This window comes from Homo sapiens, chromosome 10 (assembly GCF_000001405.40).
Source record: "Homo sapiens chromosome 10, GRCh38.p14 Primary Assembly".
In the NCBI taxonomy this organism is placed as follows: Eukaryota; Metazoa; Chordata; class Mammalia; order Primates; family Hominidae; genus Homo; species Homo sapiens.
Window position 1 is genome coordinate 96,329,656 of NC_000010.11, and position 12,953 is coordinate 96,342,608.

Genomic DNA, 12,953 nt, shown 5'->3' on the forward strand with positions numbered 1-12,953 from the left:
CAGGGGCACTGGAAGTGAAGACTCAACTTTAGAACCAGATCCAAACTGACACGAGTTTGAATACTGGGCGTCGAGTCTTCCCAGAAGGAGTTGGAGGGAATTAGAAGCGAAGGGCAGGGAAGGGATCCTGGCTAGAGAGCCTCACACTCAGCCTTGCAACCCTCCTCAGAAGGCACCTGAGACTAAATTTGGACGGAGCCTTCCTGTGGGAGGTCAAGCTGAGTGCATCTCCCTCCTGCCCCACAGCTCTCTTCCTGAGAACTGGCCGCTCTGTACCCTGGGGAGGATGGGAAGGATGGAGAGGTGGGGAAATGCCTCCTCCTAGTCAGGAGTTTCTCAGTGTCCAGTAGGAAAAATAAAAGAACATGCTGATGTCAATATTCAGTCAACCAGTGGGTATTGATGGGGAAGCCAGAGCCCAGAGGGCTGCCCTGTAGATAGCCGGGGCTGGAGATCTAGAGGTGGCATCAGGGGTTGTGTGCATGTTTGACAACTGTGGCCTGCTGCAGACAACCTTCTGAATATGCAGACAGGAGCATTACGTTCAAGGATGCATTCTCAAACACCTTGCAAAATTCAAGACAAAACCCAATAAAGAATGGCCCATTTCTCTCTTACCCACCAAGTGACAGTTTACTGTTAGGAATCCAGCTTTGTGGGCTTTTTTTTTTTTTTTTTAAGGGAAGGTGTGTTATTACAAATTTGGCTTTCATGTGAGACTTGTTCATATGTTTTATATCTCCTTTTTCAAATTTACATAATTGAAATTTACACAAAAGGCTGCTATTCTGTACTAGTTTCAGCAAGTTTCCTTAAAAAGTGGAATTGTATTTTCCGGAGCTGGTGATTCGAGGTTAACTACGGCAACATCTACCACCTCCTCCAGAGGTTCTTCCTAACATTAGTGCTTCCCCCTTCAAATGGTGTTTTTTCTTCAAGGCGTTGAAGGGTGAAGAGTTCCCTCTATTGAGGTCAACAAAATAAAAAGTATCTTTTTGAATTGAGATAATGTCTTGTGCAGGTTTGTAGAAGAAAGACAAAGCATGATTCCTAACAATAATCAATTTACCAATGATGCTCAAAGTGTGGTCCCTGGTCCGGGAACACCAGCATTGCCTGGGAACCTGTCAGAAATGCCCTCCCTGCCCCTCCTGCATCACTCTGGGGACAGAGCCCTGCAAACTGAGCTTTAGCAAACCTTCCAATTGCTTCTGATGATAGCGCTTTTAAACATCTAACCTAAAGAGTACATGGTAACAAATCACACATCCCAGTAGCTTGATGACATTATTTGAGGGTTACTTGCTGTTTTTGTTGCCAGATTTAGTGGTTGCTAGCATGTTTCTCTCTCCTGTCCCCACATCTGCCCTGTGCCATCAGGAACTCCCACCAAGAATGGCAACTCGATTGGGCACATCTTAGAATCACTTGTCCACTTTCTGGATAGGCAACTTTAAGTGAAACATGTGTCATTAACTTTATCCCACTTTCTCCAAGGCAGGTGGACTAACACTCTCATGAGAAAGAGTCTCCCAAGTGCTACCTAGAAATAGCAAGTCATCTTGCCCCAAAGTTAGACTCAGCCTCCAGCCACAACGCTTTTGGCTGGTTAAACCTGGTCATCAGTATAATATGAAGGGACACTGTCTTTGTCCATTTACCTTGCTATAAAGGAACACCTGAGGCTGGGTAATTTATAAAGAAAAGACGTTTACTTGGCCCATGGTTCTGCAGGATGTATAAGAAGCACGACACCAAGCATCTGCTTCTGGTGCGGCCTCAGGGGGCTTACACTCATGGCAGAAGGCAAGGAAGAGCTGGCAGGTGCCGAGGTCACAGGGTGAGAGAGAAAGCAAGACAGAGTGGGGAGGGGCCAGGCTCTTTGTAACCCCCAGCTTTCACGGGAGCTAACAAAGTGAGAACTCACTCATTACCATGAGGATGAGGACGGCACAAGTCATTCATGAGAGATCTTCCCCTATGACCCAAAGACCTCCCATTAGGCCCCACCTCCAACATTGGGGATCAAATTTCTACGTGAGATTTAGGGGGACAAACATCCAAACTATAGCAGACACTAACTCAAAGCTGCTCCCCAGAAACAATATGATTTTTTAAGTTTTATTATTTATTTATTTCTGAGACAGGGTCTTGCTCTGTCTCCCAGGCTAGTGTGCACTGGTGTGATTACAGCTTACTGAAGCCTCAACCTCCCAGGCTCCAGGGATCCTTCCACCTCAGCCTCCTGAGTAGCTGGGACTATAGACACGTGCCATCATACCTGGCTAATTTTAAAATTTTATGTAGAAATGAGGTCTTATTATGTCACCCAGGCTGGTCTCAAATTCCTGCAGCGTGGCTTTTTGTTTATGGTTGGTTTGTTTTTAAAGGACTGAGGAGAGCCCAGAGCACTAGCTGAGGTTCAGAAGTGGAGAGGGAGATTTTCTTGCAGTTTTGCCATTAAGTGGCTTTGCTTCAGCCTCTCTCATCGCTAAATTCCTTTTCCGTAAAGGGAAGATAATGCAACCACTTTCTTAGTGTTTTCTCCTAGTGTTTGCAGGTGGGCCTTTAATGCAAGGCCAAACACATGTCCATGTTCTGCTCGAATCTGAAAAGATTTCATTAAGAATCCAGTGTTAAATCATAGATCTTCTTCATCAGGGCCTTTTCCTGATGCCATTCTGTTTCTTTTCAGGGATTACTTTTATATTATGACCTTGTGGAGTCAACATTTGAAAAGCTCAGGTTGCCTAGCAGGAAGGTTGATGCTTTGGATCATTTTCAAAAGTGCTTTCTGATTTTCAAATTGCCTCGTCAAAGAGTGGACAGTGACCAGTCCAGCTGGCAGGAAGGAAAGACCTGGAAGGCCATCCGTGTGGATTTAGTTCTGTGCCCCTACGAGCGTCGTGCCTTTGCCCTGTTGGGATGGACTGGCTCCCGGGTAAGTGCTACATGGACCCATGGGATGATGTTAGCTTTCTGAAAGACGTAGGCCGAGTCTACCTGGGCCCAGGGGAGAGATGACGGCAACAGGGGCTGGGTGACAGGGGAGGGGCCAGTACCCAGAAACCTCTAACTCAAGGCATCCTGTCCACACATGGCCAAGTATGACAGATTAATTTAGAACAGTTATTCCCAGTGTGTGGTCCCCAACACCAGCAGCAGCAACCTTACCCAGGAACAGGTTAGACATGGAAATTCTTCACCCCACTCCAAACCTATGGAATCAAATCAGCATCTCTGGGGATTTCAGCCCGGAAATTTGTTTGGAAAAGGCTTCTAGGTGTTTCTGATGCAGCTCAAGTAGGAGAACCACTGAAGTACAGAAACCAGCAAGGGGATTGAAATAGGAAACAATTAATAAAGTGGAGAGGCAACTCACAGATTGGGAAAAAATATCTGCACATCATACATCACATAAGGGCCATTATCCAGCATATACAAGGAAACCAAAAGACTCAATAACAAGAAAACAAATAATCCTATTTAAAAATGGGCAAAGGACTTGAATAGATATTTCTCAAAAGAAGACATATAAATGGCAAGCAGATATTGCCATCTTGCTTAACATCTCTAATCATCAGAGAAATGCAAATTAAAACCACAATAAGATGTTATCTCACATCCGTCAGATTGGCTATTATCAAAAACATGAAAGACAGCAGGTGTTAGTGAGGCTGTGGAGAAAAGGGAACCCTCTTGTATTGTTGGTGGTGTTGTAAATTACACATTTTGGAAAATAGTATGGAAGTTCCTCAAAAAACTAAAAACAGGGCTACCATATGATCCAGCAATCTTACTTCTGGGTATATAGCCAAAGGAAATGAACTCAGTATGTCAAAGAGAGGTCTGCACTCCCGTGTTCATTGCAGCATGATACACCATAGCCAAGATATTATATAAAAACAACCTAAGCATCCACAGCAGATGAATGGATTTTTAAAATGTAGTATATGCACAGTGGAGTATGACACAGCCTTTCGAAAACAGGACATTCTGTCATTTGAGACAACATGGTTGAACCTAGAGGACATTATGTTAAGTGGAATAAGTCAGGCACAGAGAGACAAATACTGTATGATCTCGTTTCTGTATATGTAGAATCTAAAACAGTCAAACTCGTAGAAGTACAGAATAGAATGTAGAATGGTGGTTAGCAGAGGCTGGGGGATGAGGACAGAAAATGGACAGGGAAAAGGGTCAACAAGTACAAAGTTCCAGTCAGACAGGTGGAATAAACTCTGTTCTATTGCACAGTATGGTGACTATAGTTAATAAAAGTGTATATTTCAAAGTAGCTAAAAGAGAGGATTTTTAATGTTCTTACCACAAAGAAATGGTAGAAGTTTGAGGTGATGGACATGCTAATTAGTCTGATTTTATCATTCTGCAATGTATATAGATGTATCAAAATATCATATTATAACCCACAAATGCATACAATTATTATATGTTAATTAAAAATAAAATCAAGCTATAAAATTTTTCTGAAAGAGCACAAGTTGAGTTCATCCCAGACCTGGTTGCAAGCTCCTGCACTGCTTCTTACTGTTGGGTGATCTTGGACAAGTTCTCTATATCCTGTAAAACTCAATTTTCCCGTCAGGAAAATGAGGACGATGACCTTAGCTACTTCCCTGAGTTGCAGAGACATTAGGTGACATGATGTTCTCAAAGCCTCAGCACCAAGCCAGCACGTGGCCAGTACTGGATAAGTAGTAGCTTCCATATCCTGTCACTCACAGGAGAGGACACCTGTGATTTGAGTCCCATTCGCATGTGTTCCACCCTCCCAACTAAACACCTCACCCTGTTTCTCCTGTTTTCCCAGGTAGCTGGTTGTTGCTTTGAGTGAAATGGGTTCGTAGAGGGTTTTTTATACAGATGAATGACACAACACAAATTAATTGTTCTCAGCCGTGGGTTAAATGTCAGGTGTCTTTGCTTTGGACTGGAATTAATTCAGCACAGCATCTTAGCACTGGGATTTCTTACTCTAATCACAAATGTTGACTGACAACTAAATGCTTTTTTCATTCCTAAAAAAAGGGGAAGAAAAGAAAAAATATATCATAAATGCAACTTGTCTGATAGACATAAATCTTTGGGAACACATAGTTGATTGAGAAAGGGGAACGTTCCAGAAAGAAGTCCTTGGTTATGCAATGTCATGCCAGTTAAGCATCACTGGCTGAAGTGGTTGACATTTGCCCATTTTATTTTTAAGATGGACATGTTTTCAACACATTCTAGTCTGTTTCCTCAGAGTACTCAGAAATTGTTGCTGTTGGTTCTGCAAGGCACTGGCAGAGCACTAAGCTCTTTTGCTTTTTAGCTGGGTGACTTTAAACAAATAAAGGACTTCTGATTGCAAAGTCCATCTCCTCAACCATCCCGGGTGAGCTTTCCTAAAATAGCAAATTGTTCCTTACCACTAGAGGGCACCAGTATCCCAGGCTTGCTCCCTACTCCCACATGAAGAGGACAAAATTTCTAGATTGTGTTTCTCTCAGGAAAACTAGTCTCCATGACAATTCGTTGCCCTCCTTTCCCAAGGTGTTCCTGTCCTCTGTCTTAGGCTTCATGTATTGCTCCCTTCAGTCTCAGAGCCCATTCCTGACTGTGGGAGATGTCATCCAGGAGCAGTTGACTTAGACGATCAGTTTCATGGCATCTCAGTGTGAAAGGATGTTAAAGCCAGAGGGAGTCTTAATCATGTCCTTCCTCCATCCTTTCATTCACTCAACCAAGACTCAGGGAGTCTGGATGACTTGACAGGAGATGCACAGCCAGGTAGGGACAAAGTCCAGGCTGGAACGGGTTCCCTGACTCCTCCATCCTCTTTTACAATAACAATATTCCAAATCATGTAACACCCACCAAACTAGTATTTATCCAGCATTTACTCTGGACCAGGCATTATCCTGGTAGAACGCTCACGCTATTCATTTATTCATTCAATAAAACATTTGCTATACATCTTCTACATGCGAGGCACTATTTGAGGGAATACAGTTGTGGACAGAACAAACCAGGTTCCTGCTCTCACAGAGCTTACATTCTAGTGTGTTCATGGGAGCACGGACTTCTGTCACCAGAGAATTTGGCCCTGGGGGAGGAAAATCACTTTGAGAATGTTTAGTGGAGTTACATATTTCACTAGAGGGATGTAGCCACCTAATACTGAAGACATTCTAGACGTGTTAATAATTTATTTTAACTATCTCCTATCCAGCAGTTTGAGAGAGACCTCCGGCGCTATGCCACACATGAGCGGAAGATGATTCTGGATAACCATGCTTTATATGACAAGACCAAGGTACAGTTCTCTTCCTAAAAGGGGCTACTTTGATCCTCATCCCCAAGGCTGGCCCCCGAGCTTTTTTCATGGACTGATTTTAGTATCCAGGTATGGTTTCCTTTGTCATGCGTGTTCTATTTCCAGTTCATCATAGTTGAGGGCAGCAAGAAAGATTTCCACAGACTCGCAGTTTCCACCCGGCCCAGAATGCAATTCGAGAGATTTTGGCTGAAACATGATGAGCTAATTGGGCTTCCAGAACAAGTCCAGCAGTGAACATTAACTGGGTTTGGTATATCCTTGGTGTTGGCAATGAGTAACTCCAAAGTAAACCAGGGATCCCCAGAAATCACAAATACTACTTGTGTACCCCTCAAATGCAGGGGGCAGTGGCATTTTGAGTGGCCATGTAGGCCATTAACAACAGTCTCCTGCAAGAAAGAGAGCAACAGAGCTGCCCTGAGACATAAATGAGCATCCAGCTAGTCTCATTGACTACCCATGTCACTCATTTGGTGTGCTAGTCTTACTGTGGTCATGATCCAATTCATCCCTCAGCAAAACGATAGATGCCTGTAGAAGTTAGAAGAGTTAAATATCCAACTGTTAAATCCACAGTTCTAAGGGCTACTCTTCTTACAGATATCAAGGACACCAAAATAGGCTCCATGGGGAAGAAAACTCAAAATAACTAGAAGTAATGGTAGTGGCCAGGCGCAGTGGCTCACGTCTGTAATCCCAGCACTTTGGGAGGCCGAGGCGGGTGGATCACTTGAGGTCAGGAGTTCAAGATCAGCCAACATGGTGAAACCCCATCTCTACTAAAAATACAAAAAATAACCAGGTGTGGCGGCTCGCACACACCCAGCTACTTGGGAGGCTGAGGCAGGAGAATCACTTGAACCCGGGAGGCAGAGGCTGCAGTGAGCCGAGATCACACCACTGCACTCCAGCCTGGGCAACAGAGTGAGACTCTGTGTCAGGAAAAAAAAAAAAAAAAAAGTAATGATCATTTCCCTCTAGGAGCTTGTAGTCTAAATGAGATGTATTCAGTTAGAGTTGTCTCAGTTACAAATGTTAGAAATCAAATCTAAAGTGGCATAAACAAAAAAGGGAACTTGGGTTATATACTGCAATGTCGAAGCGTTCAGGGGCAGCCGAATATGGGTGCTCAGGCAGGCTTCCCTCAGTATTGCCTTTATTCTCAGGCAGGTTTCCCCATAAGTCCCACTCTTCCAGCTACTTCAACAGAGAAGAGCCTGTTTCCTAATAGTTCCCCCAAGAATCCTACCTGATGCTCATTGGCCAGGCCTGGGTCATGTGCCTATCCCTGAACCCATTACTGTGGCTCTGATTGGCCAGACTTGGGTCATGTGCTGCTTCTTGGAATTGGGAGCAGCTGCACCTAACCCTCCTGGACTGAGAGTCAAGAGGAGTGGTTTCCCATAGAAAAATCCAGGTGCTGCTCACAGAAGAGGGGGCTGTGGATGCTGGCAGGAAAGCCTCGGATGCTAAGCATGTGGGTGAAGGCAGATTCACATAGTACAATGAAGGAACACTTACAAATTAATACATTCTAAATAGTTCAATGTAAGCAAGTACCTTCTATGTGCCTAGCACCGTGCTATGTACAAGAAGGGATGGAGGAGAAGAGCTGCTTGGTCTTAAAGAGATCACAGAGTGGGATCCTGCTGGGGTTAGAGGCAAGCATGGAAAGCTAAGGAAAACCCAACACATACAAGTATCCTATAATTACCAGCAGTACAAAATTATAACTGCATGTTAGAATTACCCAGTGCGTTCAGATAGATTGATTATAAGATCTCTCCTGAGCTTCTGATTTCACTGGACTGGGGTATGGCTCAAGCTTCAATGTTTATTTTTTAAACTCCATCAGGTTGTTCTAATAAACAGCTGTGGTTCAGAACTACAGCCCGTAGGAAAAATATCCAAATGGCTTTTGCTGAATATGTTAAAGCTGTTATGATTTTACTTTAATTCATTTAGTACCATGTTTTGGAAAGTCAGTTAAAATGACTTTTTATACTCAGAAGCAGGGAATTATGTTTGGGCTGTAATTCATTCTGACAAGGCAATTTTATAAGTAACACTTTCACTGTGTCCACACCATGGTGCTTATGAAAAATATCTGAATGCACATATTTCTTGTTATGTTTTCAGAGGATATTCCTCAAAGCAGAAAGTGAAGAAGAAATTTTTGCGCATCTGGGATTGGATTATATTGAACCGTGGGAAAGAAATGCCTAGGAAAGTGTTGTCAACATTTTTTTCCTATTCTTTTCAAGTTAAATAAATTATGCTTCATATTAGTAAAAGATGCCATAGGAGAGTTTGGGGTTATTTAGGTCTTATTGAAATGCAGATTGCTACTAGAAATAAATAACTTTGGAAACATGGGAAGGTGCCACTGGTAATGGGTAAGGTTCTAATAGGCCATGTTTATGACTGTTGCATAGAATTCACAATGCATTTTTCAAGAGAAATGATGTTGTCACTGGTGGCTCATTCAGGGAAGCTCATCAAAGCCCACTTTGTTCGCAGTGTAGCTGAAATACTGTCTATCTCTAATAAAAACAGGAGGAAACAAGATGATGGAATCTGTTTTTCTTCACTCAAATATTATAAACTATTTTAAAACACAAGTGTAACCAAGTGGAAGAATAAAGAGCTTACAGTTTGTCTTAAGGGGACAAACAGGTTTAATTAGAAGATGCAGAGATTCCAGAGGGGATTTGGGTCCGTTCTGGAGCTTGTGGAGGAGGGGTGCTGCCTCTGGACTGGCTCAGCTCGGCTCAGTGCCTGCTCCTTCCCGGCCATCATACAGCTGGTTCCCTAAGCATCCCAGCACAGGACCACATAAAGGATGTATTCTCCCTGCCATCGTGCTGAAGGAAAGACAATGTCCTAAACCATCAAAGAAATATCTCCCTCTTTTTTCCATCTTGGAGCTTCTGTCTACACCTTATGGCTCAGTCTCTCTCAGGAAGTCAGTCTCTCTTGGCTTCTTATCTGAGGGCACCCAAGGGAAGGGAGGGAGCCCTGGCTGAGGGAAATTTTGGAACTCCCAGGCTCCAGACCCATTCTTTCCTCCTGCCTCCTCCAGGAGGCATAGACCCTTTGCCTTGAAGGGAGTTAACAGGTCATCTGTTCCAGCTGCTTCCGTGTCTTCAGCCTGCTAAAGAGCTGGGAGGCCCATGACGACCGTTTTCCCTTCCTTCCAGTCCCTCTGGGAAGAGGATATTGGGAGATACAATACCTTTTGGCTATTGTGACTAATGCTGCTGTGAACATTGGCCTACAAGTATCTGTTTGAGTCCCTGCTTTCAATCCTTTTGGTAGGGACCTAGTAATAAAATTGCTAGATTCAATGGCTATTCTATACTATGTTTAACTCTTTGTGGAACCACTGTACTGTTTTCCATAACAACTGCACCGTATTACATTCTTAACCAACAGTGCGCAAGCGTTCCAATTTCTCCACATCCTCAACACTTGTTATCTTCTGCATTATCTGTTTTATAATAGCTGTCTTAATGGGTGTGAAGTGGCGGGTGAAAACTTTTGCCCATCCTGGAACCCAAAGACAGTCCAGGCTGAAACTAACACACTGAAAGGGCCTCAGATGGTGTGTGTGCCTGTCACATCTTGAGTTGATGGCTAAAAAAAGCTGGGGACAACAAGAGGGTGGACAGCAGCCACCCCCACTGGCCTCAAATCCCAAAATCCACAAAGTATTCTAGTCTTTTCTGCTGCCCAGTGTTTCCCAGTTATGACATTCAAGATTATTCTAGGTAGTAAGTAGATGAATATTTTCATACTGATATAATCAATAAATATTTATTGGGTGCTTACCATGTCAGTCATTTTTCTAGGCACAGGGCATAGAAAAGATAACAAAACTGTCAAAAATCTCTGCCTGTATGATTATAAGCATAAAGCTTATGTTCTAGAAAGGTGTTTATTTGTGTTCGAAAGGTGTTAAGAAAATGGTTCCTTATTGATGGTAGTGATATAAAGCTTCCTTTTTGGAATAGGTTTATTTATATAAGAAAAGCGACTCAAGGTCAGGGAAATCATTTAGGAAATATTACCAGTGAAATGGGGGAGTGGCAAGAATGAGGAGAGAGGGACGCAGGTGGCTGACATTTGGGAAATGTGCAGGTGGCCTTGTCGCCTTCACTGAGCAACTCCCCAGCCCTGTTCTCTGGAGGTCCCCACCACACAATAGCCCCAGGAGGTCCATGCCAGAGGAGTTTCCCCATCAGAGAACCTCACAGATTCTAAATGCTACTTTCCTTATTTGAAAAGGCCTGTTGGAGATTCCACAAATGCCATGTCTTTTTTTTCTTTTTTGCTGTAAGCCAGAATTTTTATCAGTTCTGGACATGTTTTTTTTTTTTTTTTTTTTTTTTTTTTGCCGTAGGCCAGAATTTTTTTCAATTATTGTGGTGACTAGTTACCAGAACTCAGCCTTCGCCTGTGCCTCCTACTTTGGCAGCAGAGCGCCCTCTGATGGCTGACAGAAGAATCCTTGGAGGCAAGCACAGTATGATATAGCAGATCAAGTAGGAAGCAGATTATCTGTTAAAAACATTGGAACTATATGTAAGAAGCCATGGATCACCGATGCTCTATTTGTTCACTTTTTTCCCAGCCTTTTAAATCTGTGTTTTATTTGGGGTAGTTTTTATTGCTGTATCTTCAAGTTTACTAATCTTTTCTTCTGCAATGTCTAGTTTCATTAAACCTCTCCAGTATTTTATCTCACACATTATAGTTTTCATCTTTAGATGTATGATTTAGTTTTTAAAAACTATCTTCCATGCTTCTATTTAACATATTCAATTTTTCCTCTAGCTTATTAAATACATGGAATATAGTGTAACTGTTTCAATGTCCTTGTCTACTAATGATATCATCTGTGTCAATTTTGAGTCAGTTTCTATTAACTGAGTATTCTCCTCATTATGGGTCACATTTTCCTCCCTCTTTGCAAGCTTGGTAATTTTATATTGGATTCTAGACATTGTGAACATTGTGAATTTTTTCCTGGATATTTTTGTATTCCTGTTAATATTCTTAAACTTTGTTCCAGGATGTGGTTAATTTACTTGGAAACAGTTTGATGTGTCCTCATCTTGCTTTTGAGCTTTGTTAGGCAGGACTCATCTTACTTTTGAGCTTTGTTAGGCAGCACTAACGTAGTCTAATCCAGGGTTAATATTCTTCCCCACTACTGAGGCAATACTTTTCTCAGTGTTCTGCCTGATGCCTGGTGAATTATGGTGTTTTCTACTCTGGCTGTTTGGGAACAGGCACGGTTTGTGGCCTCCCACTGAGAGGCCTGGCCCATTAGAGCTTAGGGTATTGTTCCCTCTAATCCCTTTGTGTGGTTCTTTCTCCAGCCTTGGGTAGTTTTCTCACATGCATATGCTGATCAATGGAATAATCAAGAGGTCTCCTCTGTCTCTGTGCAACTCTTTCTCCAGTACTCTGCCCTGCAAATTCTATTCACCTTGGCCTCCATGGACTTCCAGCTCTATCTCACTAACAGCATGTGCAAAAGCCATGTGGTGCAAGGACCATGGTGTCAGAGAAAAGGCCCACGTGGCAGGAGGGCCATGGCATAAAATGAGCAGAGAGAAAGCTCTTGCAGCTGGAGGTTCCCACGTGTCTGAGTTGCAGAGAGAAAGCCTATGTTTGTGGACAGACCATGGCATCTGAAGGGCAGAGAGGAGGCCTAAGTGGTTGGGGAATAGAAACTAGAAGAGGTGGGACACAAGACTAGGCTTTCCCCAGCTCTCAAAACAAAGACCCATATCCTTACCTTGGCTTTCATAAGTGGGTAATCCCTGGCCAGGTGAGTCAACAGTAATCAGTGTTTGACTCTTCATGACAAAATCAGTCACATTTATGGTAGAATTTTGTCAACATGGTTTGTTCTCGCTCACAATCAAATCTTTCAAATCATTTTAGCCTGGAAATGAAAGTCTATGATAAACTGATTCTCTTTCATTATAAATCAGATTTTAAGCCCCAGGTTACACTCACCCTGTCCTCCAGAGGCCCCCTTCAGTTTTAGAAATAGTTCTACAGCCTATTGGACAAACTCGGCCAACTTCCAAAATGTTCCCCAGTCTCACCTGTCCAGTTTTAGTATTTTTCACCCCTTAACTTATTGGAGTTCAGGTAGCCTCTCTATAGGATGGAGGAGAGAGGTTTTTTTCTGAGTTTTACTTGGAGGTACAGCACTTTAATGTATGCCCTGACATAACCAGACATTTCAGCCATTTGGAATTCTCAGAGGATTGAAGTGCTATGCCCATTTCTCCTTCTCCTCTAACTTCAGGTAAAGGAAAAAGAAGAGTATAGATTCTTATCTTATTTGAGCCCAAGAGAGATAGTTTTATGTCTTTGAGCTTAGAGGCAAAGCACCTGTATAAAAGCTTTCCTGATATTATTTCCTTGGATGGAGATTCACATTCAATTGGGTAGAGAAACGTTTCCACAAACACCCAGTTTAGCATTTTCATTATGCCCCCAACATTGTCTTAGGACCTGGCAGATTGTCTGACATTGGAAGGAAGCCAGTGCACATTTGTTAAATCAATTCACGCATTAAGCAATAATT

General features: G+C 42.8%; 1 protein-coding gene across 2 annotated transcripts in view; it reads left to right on the plus strand.

Annotated features, from left to right (window-relative positions):
* DNTT (DNA nucleotidylexotransferase) overlaps window positions 1-8,909 on the plus strand; it is a 34,131-nt gene extending 25,222 nt beyond the window's left edge. The window contains exons 9-11 of one of the 2 annotated variants that reach the window (NM_004088.4): window positions 2,696-2,941; window positions 6,236-6,319; window positions 8,483-8,909. In NM_004088.4, coding sequence (NP_004079.3) covers window positions 2,696-2,941; window positions 6,236-6,319; window positions 8,483-8,569 — 417 coding nt within the window. In that variant the 3' untranslated portion in view covers window positions 8,570-8,909. The remainder of the gene's footprint in view (window positions 1-2,695; window positions 2,942-6,235; window positions 6,320-8,482) is intronic. The other variant, NM_001017520.2, reaches the window with a different exon arrangement.
* Window positions 8,910-12,953: the final 4,044 nt, after the last annotated feature.